This window comes from Homo sapiens, chromosome 15, assembly GCF_000001405.40.
Source record: "Homo sapiens chromosome 15, GRCh38.p14 Primary Assembly".
Taxonomy (NCBI): Eukaryota; Metazoa; Chordata; class Mammalia; order Primates; family Hominidae; genus Homo; species Homo sapiens.
In genome coordinates, this window is record NC_000015.10 from 44,303,602 (window position 1) to 44,320,173 (window position 16,572).

Below are 16,572 nucleotides of genomic sequence, written 5' to 3' on the forward strand. Positions count from 1 at the left end.
GTCACCCAGGCTAAACTGCAGTGGCATGATCATGGCTCACTGCAGCCTTGACCTTCTGGACTCAAGCAATCCTCCTGCCTCAGCATCTGGAGCAGCTAGGACTACAAACTTGTGCCATCACACCTGGCTAATTTTTTTTTTTTTTTTTTTTTTGAGACAGAGTCTCGCCCTGTCACCAGGCTGGAGTGCAGTGGTGTGATCTCAGCTCAACGCAACTTCCACCTCCCAGGTTCAAGCAATTCTCGTGCCTTAGCCTCCTGAGTAGCTGGGATTACAGACATGCACCACCAGGCCTGGCTGATTTTTGTATTTCAGTAGAGACAGGGTTTTGTTGGCCAAGTAGGTCTCAAACTCCTGACCTTAAGTGATCCGCCTGACTCGGCCTTCCAAAGTGCTAGGATTACAGGTGTGAACCACGGTGCCTGGCCACACCTGGCTAATTTTAAAATTTTGTAGAGATGTGGTCTTGCTATGTTCCCCAGGGCTGGTCTTGAACTCCTGGCCTCAAGTAATCCTCCCACCTCAACCTCCCAAAGTCCTGGGATTACAGGCATAAACCACCATGCCTGGCCTATTCAAGTTTTATCATGAGATTGCAGTAATTCAGTCACGTCTTCAGGCTCCACTTCTTTTTTTTTTTTTTTTTTTTTTTTTTTTTGAGACAGAGTTTCACTCTTGTGTCAAGGCTGGAGTGCAATGGCATGATCTCGGCTCACTGCAGCCTCCGCCTCACAGGTTCAAGCAATTCTCTTGTCTCAGCCTCCTGAGTAGCTGGGATTACAGGCGCCCACCACCACACCTGGCTAATTTTTGTACTTTTAGTAGAGACAGGGTTTCACCAGGTTGGCCAGGCTGGTCTCAAACTCCTGACCTCAAGTGATCTGCCCTCCTCAGCCTCCCAAAGTGCTGGGACTACAGGCATAAGCCATCGCTCCCAGCCCTCCAGGCTCTACTTCTATTTCTAGTTCTCTCTCTTTCTCTCTTACTCAGTCACTTAGGCTGAATGCAGTGGTGCAATCACAGCTCACTGTAGCCTCAACCTCCTGGGGTCAAGCAATTCTCCCACCTCAGCCTCCTGAGTAGCTGGGCCACAGGCCTGAGCCATCACTCCTGGCTAATTTTTAAAAAATGGTTTGTAGACCAGGGTCTTGCTATGTTGCCCAGGCTGGTTTCAAACTCCCATACTCAAGTGATCCTCCTGCCCTGGCTTCCCAAAGTACTGGGATTACAGGCATAAGCCACCGTGCCTAGCCTAATTCTAGGTCTCTTGCTATTTGTACCACATCTGCAGTTACTTCCTCCACTGAAGTCTTGAATCCCCTCAAAATCATTCATGAGAGTTGGAATCAACTTATTCCAAACTCATGTTCCTGTTAATATTTTAGCCTTCTTCTATGAATCACAAATGTTCTTTTTTTTGAGGCACAGTCTCTGTTGCCCAGGCTGGAGTACAGTGGCACAATTCATGGCTCACTGCAGCCTTGACCTCCCTGGACTCAGGTGATCCTCCTATCTCAGCCTTCCGAGTAGCTGGGACTACAGGCACATGCCACCATACCTGGCTAATTTTGTATTTTTTGTAGAGGTGGAGTTTTGCCATGTTATCCAGGCTGGTCTCAAAATCCTAGGCCCAAGCAATTTGCCTGCCTTGGCCTCCCAAAGTGATGGAATTAATGGCCACTGTGCCCAGCCACAAATTATTATAATTTTTTTTTTGAGACAGAGTCTTGATCTGTCACTTAGGCTGGAGTGCAGTGGTGCGATCTCGGCTCACTACAACCTCTACCCCCTGAGCTCAAGTGATCCTCCCACTTCAGCCTCCGAGTAGCTGGGACCACAGGTATGGGCCTCTACACCTGGCTAATTTTTCTATTTTTAGTAGAGACAGGGTCTCCCCATGTTGCCCAGGCCCGTCTTGAACTCCTGAGCCCAAGTGTCCACCCGCCTCTGTCTCTCAAAGTGCTGAGATTATAGACGTGAGCCACTGCACCCAGCCTCTACAAATGTTCTTAATGGCATCTAGATTGGTGAATTCTTTCTAGAAGACTTTCAATTTATTTTGCCCAGATCCATCAGAGGAATTACATCATGGTAGGTATAGCCTTATGAAAGGTATTTGTTAAATAATAAGATTTGAAAGTAGAAATTACTCCTTGCTCCATGGGTTGCTGTTAGCAGACATGAAAAGATTAATGTCCTTGTAAATCTTCATCAGAGATCTTGGGTGACCAGGGACATTGTCAGTGAGCACTAGTATTTTGAAAGGAATCTTTTTTTTAAGTAGTATATCTCAACAGTGAACTGAAAATATTCAGTAAACCATGCTGTAAACAGATGTGCTATCATACAGGCTTTGTTGTTCCATTTATAGAGCGCAGATAAAACAGATTTAGCACAATTCTTAAAAGCTAGGATTTTAGGAATGGTAAGTGAGCGTTGGCTTCCACTTAAAGTCACCAGCTGTCCCTAACAGGAGAATCAGCCTGTCCTTTGAAGCTTTGAAACCAGATATTGACTTCTCTGCAGCTATGAAAGTTCTAGATGGCATCTTCTTCCAATAGAAGGCTGTTTCATTTACATGGAAAATGTGTTGTTTAGTGTAGCCACCTTCAGTGATCTTAGCTAGATTTTCTGGATAACTTGCTGCAGCTTTTTCATCAGCACTTGCCACTTCCCCTTGCACCTTTATGTTATGGAGATTGCTTTTTTTTTTTAAACTTCATGAACCAACCTCTGCTGGCTTCCGACTTTTCTTGTACAGCTTCTTTACCCTTCACCCTTCATAGAATTGAAGAGAGTTAAGTCCTTGCTCTGGATTAGGCTTTGGTTTAAGGGAATATTGTGGTTAGTTTGACCTATCTGGACCATGGAAACTTTCTCCATATCAGCAACAGTAAGGCTGTTTTGCCTTCTCGTTATTCATGTGTTCACTAAAGTAACACTTTGAATTTCCTTAAAGAATTTTTCCTTTGCATTCACAATTTGGCTGTTTGGCACAAGAGGCCTAGCTTTTGGCCTGTCTATGTTCTTGACGTGCCCTTTTCACTAAGCTTAATTATGTTTAGCTTTTGATTTAAAGTGAGAGACATACAACTCTTTTACTTGAACACTTAGAGGTCATTGTAGTATCGTTTTGTCTCAGGAAATAGGGAAGCCTGAGGAGAGGAAGAGAGATGGGGGAATGGTTATTCCATGGTAACTCCCGTTATCGTCTCCCCAACCCTTGGCAACCTCTATTCTACTTTCTGTTTCTATAAAGTTGTTTATTCTATTTACACACACAACATTTATTGATTAAACTCACTGTCCTCTATGAGTGCAGTTTGTGGTGCCCCCAATTATAATAATATTGAAGGTCACAGATCACAGATCACCATGACAGATGTAATAAAGAAAATTTTGAAATATTTTGAGAATTATCAAAATGTGACATAGGGACATGAAGTGAGCACATGTTATTGGAAAAATTGTGCCAATACATTTGCTCGATGCAGGGTTATAAGAAACGCATAAAGCAAGGTACAATAAGACAAGGTATGCCTGTATCCAAGTTATACTGCTTATCATCAGGGACTTGTCTCATAAGCTGGAAACTAACATGATACTAATTCTTTTTTTTTTTTTTTTTTGAGACAGAGTCTGGCTCTGTGGCCCAGGCTGAAGTGCAGTGGTACGATCTCCGCTCACTGTAAGCTCTGCCTCCCAGGTTCACGCCATTCTCCTGCCTCAGCCTCCCGAATAGCTGGGACTACAGGAGCCTACCACCACGCCTGGCTAATTTTCTGTATTTTTAGTAGAGATGGGGTTTCACAGTGTTAGCCAGGATGGTCTCTATCTCCTGACCTCGTGATCCGCCCACCTTGGCCTCCCAAAGTACTGGGATTACAGGCGTGAGCCACCGTGTTCAGCCCACATGATACTAATTCTCAATGGGCAGAATGAAATAAAACCATTTATTGATATAGTGCTTTATGATTGTTCAAAGTTTATTATATGCATAAGTCATTTATTTGGGAAAGTTGAATACCATGTGGTATGTGATAGGGATAGAAAGATAGTAAGATTCCCGTTCTTTGAAGAAGTGAGGGAGGCACACATAGAAAAATAATCCATAATGCATGATTAAATGCTATAGTAAAGCTGCTTACAAAGGGGTTTGAGAATACAGAGGAATAACTGATTAACTTCCTCAGGAAGTCAAGAGCGAAATAATTCACTGAAAAGGTGATCTTTAGTAATTTAACAAAATGAGAAAGGGATAAGGACAGGAGGAACATAAATGAGGCCAGGAAAGCTGGAAAGTATGTTGTACCTTCACAGAAGGTCAAGCAGTAGAATAGGAGAGTGTAATATAAGGTACATGGTATTGAGAAGTAGGGGAAATTATGTCTGAGTTAAAGCTATTTGGGGCCAGAATAATGATGATTATTGTTATTACTATTTTATTGTGGTAAAACATCTATAACAAAATTTACTATTTTTACCATTTTAAGTGTATAATTTAGTGGCATTAAGTACATTCACAATGTTGTGTAACCATGATTACTACCATCTATTTCTAGAACTTTTTCACGATCCCAAACCAAACAAAACCTCTACCCATTAAGCAGTAATTCCCATTGCCCTTCCCTCCAGCCTGTGGTAACCTCTATTCTAGTTTCTGTGTCTATGAATTTGTCTATTCTAGATACCTCATATAGGAGGATTATACAATATTTGTCCTTTTTTATCTGGCTTATTTCACCTAGCATAATGTTTTCAAGATTCATTTATGTTGTAGCATGTATCAGAACTTCATTCCTCTTTATGGCTGATAATATTTTATTATGTGTATATACCATGTTTTGCTTTTCATTCATCTGTTGATGAACACTTGAGTTCTTCCCCTCTTTCAGTTATTGTGAGTAATGCCTCTATAAACGGTGGTGTACAAGTATCTGTTTGAGTCCCTGGTTTCACTTCTTTTATGTCTAGCAGTGGAAATGCTGGGCCATATTCTATATTTAACTTTTTTTTTTAGAGACAAGGTCTCTTTCTGTCACCTAGGCTGGGTACAGTGGCATGACTGTGGCTCACTGCAGCTTTGACCCACCTCAAGCGATTCTCCCACCTCAGACTCCTGAATAGCCGGGACTGCAGGTGTGTGCACCAAAAGCACAGGCAACAAAACTAAAAATTGACAAATGGGATTACATCAAATTGAAAAGCTCCTGTACAGCAAAAGAAAACTATCAACAGAGTCAAAAGGTACCTACAGAGTAGGAGAAGATATTTGGAAATCATATATCTGATAAGGGTTAATATCCAAAATATATAAGGAACTTATACAATGTAATAACAATGAACAACCTGTTTTAAAAATGGGCAAAGGACTGGAATAGACATTTCTTGAAAGAAGACATACAAGTGGCCAACAGGTACAGTCATATGGAAAAATGTTCAACATTATTAATCATCAGGGAAATGCAAATCAAAACTACAGTGAGATACTATCTCACACCTGCTAGAATGATTATTGTCAGAAAGGTGAAAGATAACAAATGTTGGTGAGGATGTGGAGAAAGGGGAACCCTTGAACATTGTTGGTGGGAATGTAAATAGCCATATGGAAAACAGTATGTAGTTTCCTCAGAAGTTAAAAATAGAACTATATTATGATCTGGCAATCCCACTTCTGAGCATATATTTAAAGGAAGGCTACCAGGGACTAGGGGAAGGGGCAAATGGGATGTTGGTCAAGGGGTACATAGTTTCAGTTATGCAAGATGAGTAAGTTCTGGAGATCAATGTATATAAGCATATCAAATCATCAAATTGTGTACCTTAAATATATACAATCTTTAATTGTCAAATATCCCTTAATAAAAAAGTAATTGAGAAAAAAGTAAATAAAATAAAAAAATTCTATGAGATTCCCAATTTATTGTTTTAGCTAAAAAGGCTAAAAGCTAAAGACTTTTTTTTCTTTTGTGTTGTTTTTAAGCCAGTCAAATTTAGCAGTGGGACTTTGTAGAAATAGTAAAGAAGACATTCTACTCCTTTACATAGTAATAGCTAATGTTTATTAAGCCCTTACCATGTGCCAGCCAGTGTTGTTAACACTTTATCTCTGGCATAAACTTTTTGACAATGCTATGAGTCAGATAATATTTTCTCATTTTATAGATAAAAGAACTGAAACAGAGAAGGTAAACAGTATGTCCAAGGAAATAGAGCTAACAAGTAGTGAATTCAGAATTCAGACTCAGGCAATCTAATTTTAGAGGCCCCACCCCCTCACCAGCTTTTGGTTTTTTTTTTGATACGGAGTTTCACTCTGTTGCCCAGGCTGGAGTGCAGTGGCATGATCTTGGCTCACTGCAACCTCCGCCTCCTGGGTTCAAGTGATTCTCATGCCTCAGCCTCCTGAGTAGCTGGAACTACAGGCAAATGCCACCATGCCTGGCTAATTTTTGTATTTTTTGTAGAGACTGGGTTTTGCAATGTTGGCCAAGCTGGTCTGAAACTCCTGACCTCAAGCGATCTGCTTGCCGTGGCCTCCCAAAGTACTGGGATTACGGGCGTGAGCTGCTGCACCCAGCCAGAGCCCCTTCTTTTAAGCACTATGCTATTGGGTTTCTGCATAGTCACAGTCTTAATTTACTTTGTGCAGCATTAATTACATGATGCAAGTTTAAGAATTATCCAGAGAAGAGCAATTAAAATCACCAAGGGATGAAAGGGTACTCACAAGAGAACCAACTAAAAAGACTTGGAAAGGCTGGGAGGCCAAGGCGGGAATCTCTCTGAGATTAGGAGTTCGAGACCAGCTTGGGCAACATAGTGAGAGTCTCTCTTTCTCTCTCTCTCTCTCTATATATATATATATGTATATATATATATATATATACACACACACACCCACACACACACACACACACACACATACATATTCAGATAGCCAGGTGTGGTGATGCACACCTATAATCCCAGCTACCTGAGAGATTGAGGTAGGATCCCAGGAGTTGGGATCAAACTCCTTTGATCCCAGGAATTTGAGGCTGCAGTGAGCTATGATTGTGCCACTGTACTCCAGCCTGGATGACAGTACAAGACCCTGTCTCAATCAATCAATCAGTCAATTAAAAAATACATAGGCCAGGCACAGTGGCTCACGCCTGTAATCCCAGCCCTTTGGGAGGCCAAGGCGGGCGGATCACGAGGTCAGGAATTTGAGACCAGCCTGACCAACGTGGTGAAACCCCATATCTACTAAAAATACAAAAATTAGCTGGGCATGGTGGCACACACCTGTAATCCCACTTATTCGGGAGGCTGAGGCAGGAGAATCGCTTGAACCCGGGAGGCGGAGGTTGCAGTGAGCCGAGATTGTGCCACTTCACTCCAGCCTGGGCGACAGAGTGAGACTTCATTTCAAACAACAACAACAACAAAACGAACAAGCAAAAAACAAACATACATACATACCTGGAAAAGTTCTTAAAAGAACATATGACTAAAGAATATGGATATAAACTTTCCATACCAAATCCTGCAAGGTAGTTTTATACTTATACATGTTCTACTTATAAATGACCCATTCTTATAGATTATGCCACTGCCTTGATGCTACATGTGGTATTTCTTACCTTAACTGAAAAAGAGAAAACTATTTTAGAGCTTAGTGGGGAAAGTTTCTTAACAGGTTTTACTTCCCTAAATGGTTCCCCTCCCTAAGAGGAAAAACATTTTTCCCCAAAAATGTTGGGGAAATGCCTCCAATTAAAGAGGCATTCCAGGCACCATAACTTTAATGTGAATTAATGGCATAGTGCCTGTATTTTTCAAATGAAATTCAGGACATGATGTCTGAAAAAGATTGCTTTTCTTTTTTTTTTTATTATTGTGGTAAGTGTGTATGTGGTAAAAAACACATACCTTCAAAGGAGTGGGGAGAGACAGTCCTTCGAAGGGCCTGGGATGAGAACTAGAAATATTTGCCAATGTTAATGAACTATCAAAAGTCTTGATTATTAATTCATTCTAACATAAACCTAATATAGGATTGCTTTTGTGTGTGTGTGTGTGTGATGGAGTCTCTCCCTGTCACCCAGGCTGGAGTGCAATGGCACGATCTTGGCTCACTGCAACCTCTGCCTCCCGGGTTCAAGCGATTCTCCTGCCTCAGCCTCCCAAGTAGCTGGGATTACAGGTGCCCACCACCATGCCTGGCTAATTTTTGTATTTTTAGTATAGATGGGGTTTCACCATGTTGGCCAGAGAGATCTCGAACTCCTGACCTCAGGTGATCCACCTGCCTCGGTCTCCCAAAGTGCTGGGATTACAGGTTTGAGCCACCATGCCAAGTCGTTAACATAGGATTTCAAATCCTTGAAATTTAAAGTTTGTGAACTTCAAACTTGCATGTTCTTGGGAGAATGTAACAAGAAAGAGATTAAAACCGCTGAATAAACCATAATTGTTCTCCAACTTTATCTGGACCTCTAATCTATTACCTCTTCCTTTCTAGCAGCCCTATGTATTCTTTACTTTCCTCCCTATCCAGCTGAGATTTTGTTTCAATTTAGTTTCTTGCCATTACCCTCTCTTTTACATGCCAATTTCAAGCACAGCTGCAGAAAATCATATAACCAGATTTGCAGGAATTTATGATCAGCAAACTCAACTGGGTTTTCAGTAACACGTTACATATTATATTTCTCCAGGCAACACACCCTTTCCAACAGCTTTCAGATCTTTGCCCTCCTTAGGCCCATTTAAACTTTTTTTCTCCTTTCTCAAGCTTAGTAGGTGATCTTGTCTCCTGCTTGACCAAGAATTGGACTGATAAAACTTTAACTACCAAATCTGTAGGAATACCTACATCTGTACCCATCTGTCTTTCCTCTTTGTTAAAATAAAAGAAGGTTCATCCATTCTCCAGGGCCAGCCTCTCTACCTGTTCTCTGGATCCAATGTCTTCCATCTTTTCAAAGACTTTGTAGAATTAGTAATCCAGTCCTCCTCTTATATTCACCCTCTCAGTCTATGCTTGCTCCTCAGCATTTAAAAAATAGTTGTCTGGCCTGGCGCGGTGGCTCATGCCTATAATCCCAGCACTTTGGGAGGCCAAAGCAGGCAGATCACTTGAGGTCAGGAGTTCGAGACCAGCCTGGCCAACCTGGTGAAACCCCGTCTCTACTAAAAAATACAACAATGGCTGGGTGCGGTGGCTCACGCCTGTAATCCCAGCACTTTGGGAGGCCGAGGCAGGCGGATCACGAGGTCAGCAGATAGAGACCATCTTGGCCAACATGGTGAAACCCCATCTCTACTAAAATACAAAAAATTAGCTGGGCGTGGTGGCGTGCTCCTGTAATCCCAGCTACTTGGGAGGCCGAGACAGGAGAATCATTTGAACTCAGGAGGCGGAGGTTGTAGTGAGCTGAGATCATGCCATTGCACTCCAGCCTGGGCGACGGAGCAAGACTCCATCTCAAAAAAAAAAAAATACAAAAATTAGCCTGGTGTGGTGGTGGGCACCTGTAATCCCAGCTACTTGGGAGGCTGAGGCAGGAGAATTGCTTGAACCCAGTAGGTGGAGGCTGCAGTGAGCCAAAATTGTGCCACTCACTGCACTCCAGCCTGGGCTACAGAGTGAAACTCCATATCAAAAATAAAAAATATTTGTCTTACTTCCCCTTTCCAGGAAAATTTCTTGAAAAGACATTTTATCTCTGCATTTTCTGCTTTCATCTGCATTTTCTCCTCCTACTCCTGATAATCTCAGCATCTTTTCCCCAGCATTCTATGTTCTTGGCTTCTTATCTCTCAGTTTACTTCTTAGTCTCCTTTGCTGACTTCACCTGTATTCATTATTAAATGTTATAGTTCATAGTTTTGTGTCTGTAATCTTCTCATTCTACTCTCTTACTACGTCATCATACTCACTTATAAAACTTGTTACACTTTATGTGCTAATGACTCCAAATCTGTATCCTTTATCCAGACTTCTCTCTTGTTTCTTATATATTGCTGTATCTTTAGGCTTTACACAGTGTCTTTCACTTAGCAGGTGTTCAATAAATGTTTCTTTGTGACTGGCTGACTGACTAAATAAGTAAACTTTATAGTAATTCTTTGTGATTCTTCTTAACAGACCAAGATCAAATCCTTTGTATCCCTAGGTCTAGCACATAGTGGGTACTCACTAAGTGCTTTATAAATGACTGATTGAATAAATAATGAATAAGCACCACAATAAAATAAAATTTCTTAATAAGATGAATGAGTGAATGAAAAAAAACTTTGTGCTGTTCATTATAGCCAGTCAAGACCAAAGACCTTGTTTATTCTCTTTGAAAATGTAACTGGGGGCCAGGCGCAGTGGCTCATGCCTGTAATCCCAACACTTTGGGAGGTCGAGGTGGGCAGATCACAAGGTCAGGAGATTGAGACCATCTTGGCTAACACAGTGAAACCCCGTCTCTACTAAAAATACAAAAAATTAGCCGGGTGTTGTGGCGGGCGCCTGTAGTCCCAGCTACTTGGGAGGCTGAGGCAGGAGAATGGCATGAACCCAGGAGGCGGAGCTTGCAGTGAGCTGAGATCGCGCCACTGCACTGCAGCCTGGGCAACAGAGCAAAACTCCGTCTCAAAAAAAAAAAAAGAAAAGAAAAGAAAATGTAACTGGGTAGGCCGGGTGCGGTGGCTCACACCTGTAATCCCAGCATTTTGGGAGGCCAAGGCAGGTGGATCACCTGAGGTCAGGAGTTCGAGACCATCCTGGCCAACATGGTGAAACCCCATCTCTACTAAAAATACAGAAATTAGCTGGGCATGGTGGTGTATGCCTGTAATCCCACCAACTCAGTAGGCTGAGGTGGGAGAATTGCTTGAACCTGGGAGGCGGAGGTTGCAGTGAGCCAAGATCGCACCACTGCATTCCACTCTGGGCAATAAGAGTGAAACTCCATCTCAAAAAAAAAAAAAAAATGTAACTGATAACTGGATATAAATTATACTAAAACTTGGTTTAAGAAGACAGTAATTCATTAACAGATAAGTAAAAGTTGCAGATGTGATTGGAATGTTGACTGCATACTCTGTGTGAACTATGAGTAGTGAGAATAAAAAATGTTAATCACCTACCAGGTCTAGTATATACACAGTAGTCACAGACACAGACTCTGGACGGGGTCTATTTGAGAAAGTATTCAAAACCTCCTGTAGGTATATGACTGAGGACACAGTTTCCTCATTTGTGAAATGGGGAAAAATAACTATGCCCACTTTCATAGGGAGGTTGTGAGAATTAAATGAGATAATGCTTGTAAAGCACTTAGCCTAGGACCTGGCACAAAAATAATCATTTAATACCCGCTTGTTATTATTAATGCTATTCCATTTTGATCCAGCTGGTATAGGTGTTAACCATGCTATAGATGAATAATTGCCAAACCTGGCTGCTTATCAGAATCACGTAAGATTTTTAAAATTAAAATTCCTGGGCCTTTCCCAGACTACTGAATCAGACTGGAAGTAGAATATGTCTTTTTTAAAGCTCCCCAGGTGATTCTGAGCATCAGCCAGGTTTGGCAGTTATGTTACAGAAGATAGACTTGTCTCTAGAAATCATCTGAGTATGAAATATAATCAAGAAAAATATTTCTGGTGTGGAGAAAAAGGAGTCAAGAATGACATCTGTAGTAAGCCAATTGTATATAACCTTTGGAATAAATGGTCATAGTTGTGCTGATTGCCCAAGAACAGACCGTAATGAAAGGAAAGCAGGCACAGCTGAGCCATTTTCAAGGTTCCCCCAAATGGAAAGAGAAGCAGAGCAACTGAGCTGTTAAGAGCTGCCAAAATTAATTTAGAGAAGCCACGTAGGATGGGGAAACATGAAAAGAACTTCAGAAGAGAGCTGGTAGAAAAATAAAAATGAAGTTTTTGATATTGCAGGAAGAAAGATTAAGGGAAAATAAATGAAGTAGCTGGGGATGAACAAGAAGTACTATAGGGAAGTATCAGGAAAAAAGAATTCTTGCTGAGGAAAACAAATAAAGAGCATAAACAAAGAACATAAAACTCAGGAGAGAGGTCTCAGGAAGGACAGTAAACACATTTTAAGAGATTCACAGGGAAAAGGCCAAACAGAGCAAGGATAATTGGCCTATTATAGATGGACTCAAAATCCCAAAGAAACAAGTATTACAAAAAGAGAGGGATAAGGTAAAGCCTAAAGGCAATGACGGCGATAACAAGGGGAAATAAATGAAGGCGCTCAAAAGAAACCTTGAAGAATAATTAAAATTGTGCAAATATGGATAAAGTATAACTTAAGGTAGGAGAGTGTGTAGTACAAAGAGTATGGGACATAAAAGTCTAGGGGATCATTGAGCAAACATTTATTCAGTGTTTATGGGTATCAGGAAGTTTATGTGCTGTTACCTGTGTGGAATATATTTAGAAAAAAAGTGAAAATATTCTGGAAGCATGATCAGTTCAACAGAGAATATGTGTGGCAAAATGAAGATAATCTCTTTTTCTAGTCATGTAATAGTAAGAACTCCAATTAATTTCTCAACAGCAGGGACGTTTTGGCAGTCATTTAGAAGATAAGCATATTCCTAATGACCACAAGGAAATTAAAACTGTGAGGAGAGAGCTGGGTGTGGTGGCCTGAGCCTGTTGTCACAGCTACTGAGTTCGAGTTCAGCCTGGGCAACACAGTGAGACTCCATCTCTAAAAAAAATGAAAAAACAGTGAACTATGAGAAGGAATAGTTAGAAGGGAAGTTAAGCTTTCTTTTGAAGGTGAGGGGATGGTGGTGGAGATATTAAATGAAGGCTCTCAGAGGAAGGGTTAAAGCCAAAGGAGTTAAAGAGCTGGCCCGGCGCGGTGGCTCACGCCTGTAATCCCAGCACTTTGGGAGGCCGAGGCAGCCAAATCACGAGGTCAGGAGTTCCAGACCAGCCTGGCCAACAGGGTGAAACCCCGTCTCTACTAAAAATACAAAAACTTAGCTGGGCGTGGTGGCAGGCGCCTGTAATCCCAGCTGCCCAGGAGGCTGAGGCAGGAGAATGGCATGAACCCGGGAGGTGGAGGTTGCAGTGAGCCGAGATTGTGCCACTGCACTCCAGGCTGGGCAACAGAGTGAGACTCTGTCTCAAAAAAAAAAAAAACAAAAAAGAGCTAAAAGACCAGACTGGGCAACATGGCAAAACCCTGTCTGTACCAAAAATACAAAAATTTAGCCAGGAGTGGTCATCTGTGCCTGTGGTCCCAGCTACTCGGGAGGCTAAGGTGGGAGGATCACATGGGCTTGGGAGGCAGAGGTTACAATGAACTGAGATTGTGCTACTACACTCCACCCTGGGTGACAGAGGGACCCAGGCTGAATATATATATTCAACTATAGATTGAATTTCCCCACCTCCATTAGAATTTTTTTCCAATGTATAAGAATATGAAAGAGACAGTTCAGGGAAGCTGAAGCCACTCACAGCCTAATATTTAAGAAGAGCATACCTCTACCAATTTCAGAAGCAGATTTAAAATGGAGTACAGAGAACCTGGCATAGCATCATAAAAATTGATTTAAAAAAGTGAGACCCCCCCATCTCTACAAAAGACAAAAAAAATTATCTGGGCGTGGTAGCACATGCCTGTGGTCCCAGCTACTTGGGAGGCTGAGGTGGGAGGATCTTTTGGGCCTGAGAAATCAAGGTTGCAGTGAGCTGTGGTCATGCCACTGCACTCTAGCCTGGGCAGTAGGGCAAGACCCTGTCTCAAAAAAAGTGTTTTTTTAAATAAAAAACCAAAGTGTTGAAAATGAATACAAAGGAAGATGATGTTCTTGGAAGGGCAACAAGTACAAAAAGAGATTAGGTTCTGCAAATGAAGGAATTGGGAAACAAAGTAAAATACAGGCTAATTGGAAGTTATTACGGAGCAGTTCTGAGTGAGCAAACTGATCAAATACTGTAGTTGTTGGTGTCAGGTTTTTTTTGCTTCCCCTGTAGCTTTCCCTCAGTGATCTCATTCCTATGACCTGGATTACCATTTGAATGTGAATGGCTCTCTGGTCGTCGCCCGAGCTCCATATGTCCAACTGCCTACTGAAGATCTCTTCTTGGATATGTCACAGATGCCTCAAAATCAATAGGTCAAAATCTCAAAAAATCATTTCCCCAATTCTCTCCCTGACCCCAAGTCTGTTCCTCTTCCTGTGTTTCCCTATTACAGAAAATTATATTCTTACTCATCTAGTCACCCCGATTAGAAATCTAAGCATCATACTTGATGTTTCTCCTTTTACGCCTGTATATAATCAATTCCACAAGACTATTCTTCCCCTTTAATATCTCACATGTATTTACCTCTCTTTTCTGATTCTATTAGTTTAGACCAGAAATTGAAAAGACCTTTTCTGTAAAAGTCCAGATAGTAAATACTTTAGGCTTTGCAGGCCATATAGTCTCTGCCACAACCACTGTAGCTCAAAAGCAGCCACATACAATATGTAAACAAATTAGTGTGGCTATTTTCCCATAAAACTTTATTTGTAGACACTGAAGTTTCATTTTCATGTAATTCATATATCATAAAATCTTCTTTTGATTTTTTCCTTCAGCTATTTAAAAAAAAATGTAACAGTCATCCTTAGCTTCCTTCCCTACAAAAACAGGCTCACAGGCCATAGTTTGCCCACCTCTGACTTAGACCAACATTCTCACCTATGATATGGCAGTAGTACTTGGTCTCCCTCCTTCTCATCTTGCCCACTCTGGTCTACTCTTCATGTTGCAGCCAGATTGACTTTTTAAAATTGCAAATTGGGACTGGGTGTGCGTGGCTTACGCCCATAATCCCAGCACTTTGGGAGGCCGAGGTGGGTGGATCGCCTGAAGTCAGGAGTTTGAGACCAGCCTGATCAATGTGGTGAAACCCTGTCTCTACTAAAAATACAAAAATTAGCTGTGTGTGGTGGTATGTGCCTGTAGTCCAAGCTACTTGGGAGGCTAAGGCAGGAGAACGACTTGAACCTGGGACGTGGAGGTTGCAGCGAGCAGAGATTGGGTCGCTGCACTCCAGCCTGGGCAACAGACCGACACTCTGTCTCAAAAAAAAAAAAAAAAAATTGGAAGTTGAATTTTACTACCTTGTTAAAAGAACTTTAAAGATTGACCATAGCTTACAGGATGAATCCATGTTTCTTGGAAGACCCTTCATAATTGTGAACCTTACTTACCTTTCTAGCCATATTTCTTACCAGTTCTCCCTAATTCTCTGTTGCAGCTACTGGGAATTGTTTATAATTCCTAGAATGTTAAGTGTTTTTCATATCTAAGTTTTGACACGTGCCTTGAATGCCTTTCTTCCTTATCTTCTCCCTACTTATACCTGGTTCCTGCAGGACTCATATCAGTCATCATCATCATCTCCAGAAGCCTTCTCTCACTCCATGAAGGCTGTATTAAATCCTTCTATTAAGTTCGCCCATCATGTCTGTAGAACCGAATGATAGCATTTATTTTACGGTATTATGATTGCCTATTTACTTGACTCCCCTCCTAAATAGTAAGCTCCTTGAGTACATAGTGTTTGTCTGTTGTGTTATCCTCAGTTTCCATTTTTCTTTTTTTGAGATGGGGTCTTGCTCCGTTGCCCAGACTGAAGTGCAGTGGCTTGATTATGGCTCATTGCACTCCTGACTTCTGGGCTCAAGTGATCTTCCCACCTCAGCCTCCCAAGTAGCTGGGACTATAGGCATATGCCACCATGCTCGACTAATCTGTTTATTTATTTATTTTTTATTAGAGATGAGATCTCACTGTGTTTCCAGGCTGGTCTTGAATTCCTGAGTTTGAATGATCCTCCTGCCTCAGCCTCCAAAATGCTGGGATTATAGGCATGAGCCACCACGCCTGGCCTTCCAGTTTCCTGTATGATACCCCATAGTAATGTGTGAGTGGGGTTTTTGTTTGTTTGGTTGGTTTTGTTTTCATTTTTGTTTTTGAGACAGGGTCTCGCTCTGCCACCTAGGGTAGGAGTGCCGTGGTGCAGTCACAGCTCACTGCAACCTCAACCTTTAGGGCTCAATCAGTCCTCCCACCTCAGCCTCTCAAGTATCCGGGCCTATAGGCATGCACCACTGTGCCTGGCTAAGTTTTTGTATTTTTTGTAGAGAGGGGATTTTGCCATGTTGCCCAGAGTAGTCTCAAACTCCTGGCCTCAGGTGATCTGCCTGCCTCAGCCTCCCAAAGTGTTGGGATTACAGGCGTGAGCCACTGCACCTGGCCATTTTTGTTTGTTTTACATTTTAAAAATTGACGTATAATTCATGTACCATAAAATTTATCCTGTTCAAGTGTACAATTTAGTGCATTTTACTATATCTAAAATGTTGAGCAACTATCACCATGGTCTAATTCCAGAACGTTTTCATCACCCCCAAAAGAAACCTTGTGCTCAACAAAAAGTCACTCCTCATTCCTTCCTGCCCCCAGCCCCTGGCAGCCACTAATCTACTTTCTTTCTTTATGGCTTTACCTATTCTGTACATTTCATATCAATGCTATCAGATA

The 16,572-nt window shown here is 41.7% G+C and overlaps 1 protein-coding gene across 3 annotated transcripts in view, besides 1 other annotated feature; it reads left to right on the forward strand.

The window, feature by feature from the left end:
- The window catches only part of GOLM2 (golgi membrane protein 2), a 127,040-nt gene that overhangs the window by 14,883 nt on the left and 95,585 nt on the right, over nt 1-16,572 (forward strand). The gene's annotated exons all lie outside the window — the stretch shown is intronic.
- Nucleotides 15,696-15,925: an enhancer, noted in NCBI's record as "active region_9336". NCBI's record gives its function as "activates an Ori minimal core promoter by ATAC-STARR-seq in GM12878 lymphoblastoid cells {active_cell/tissue: GM12878}" and the evidence as "EXISTENCE:reporter gene assay evidence [ECO:0000049][PMID:35858748]".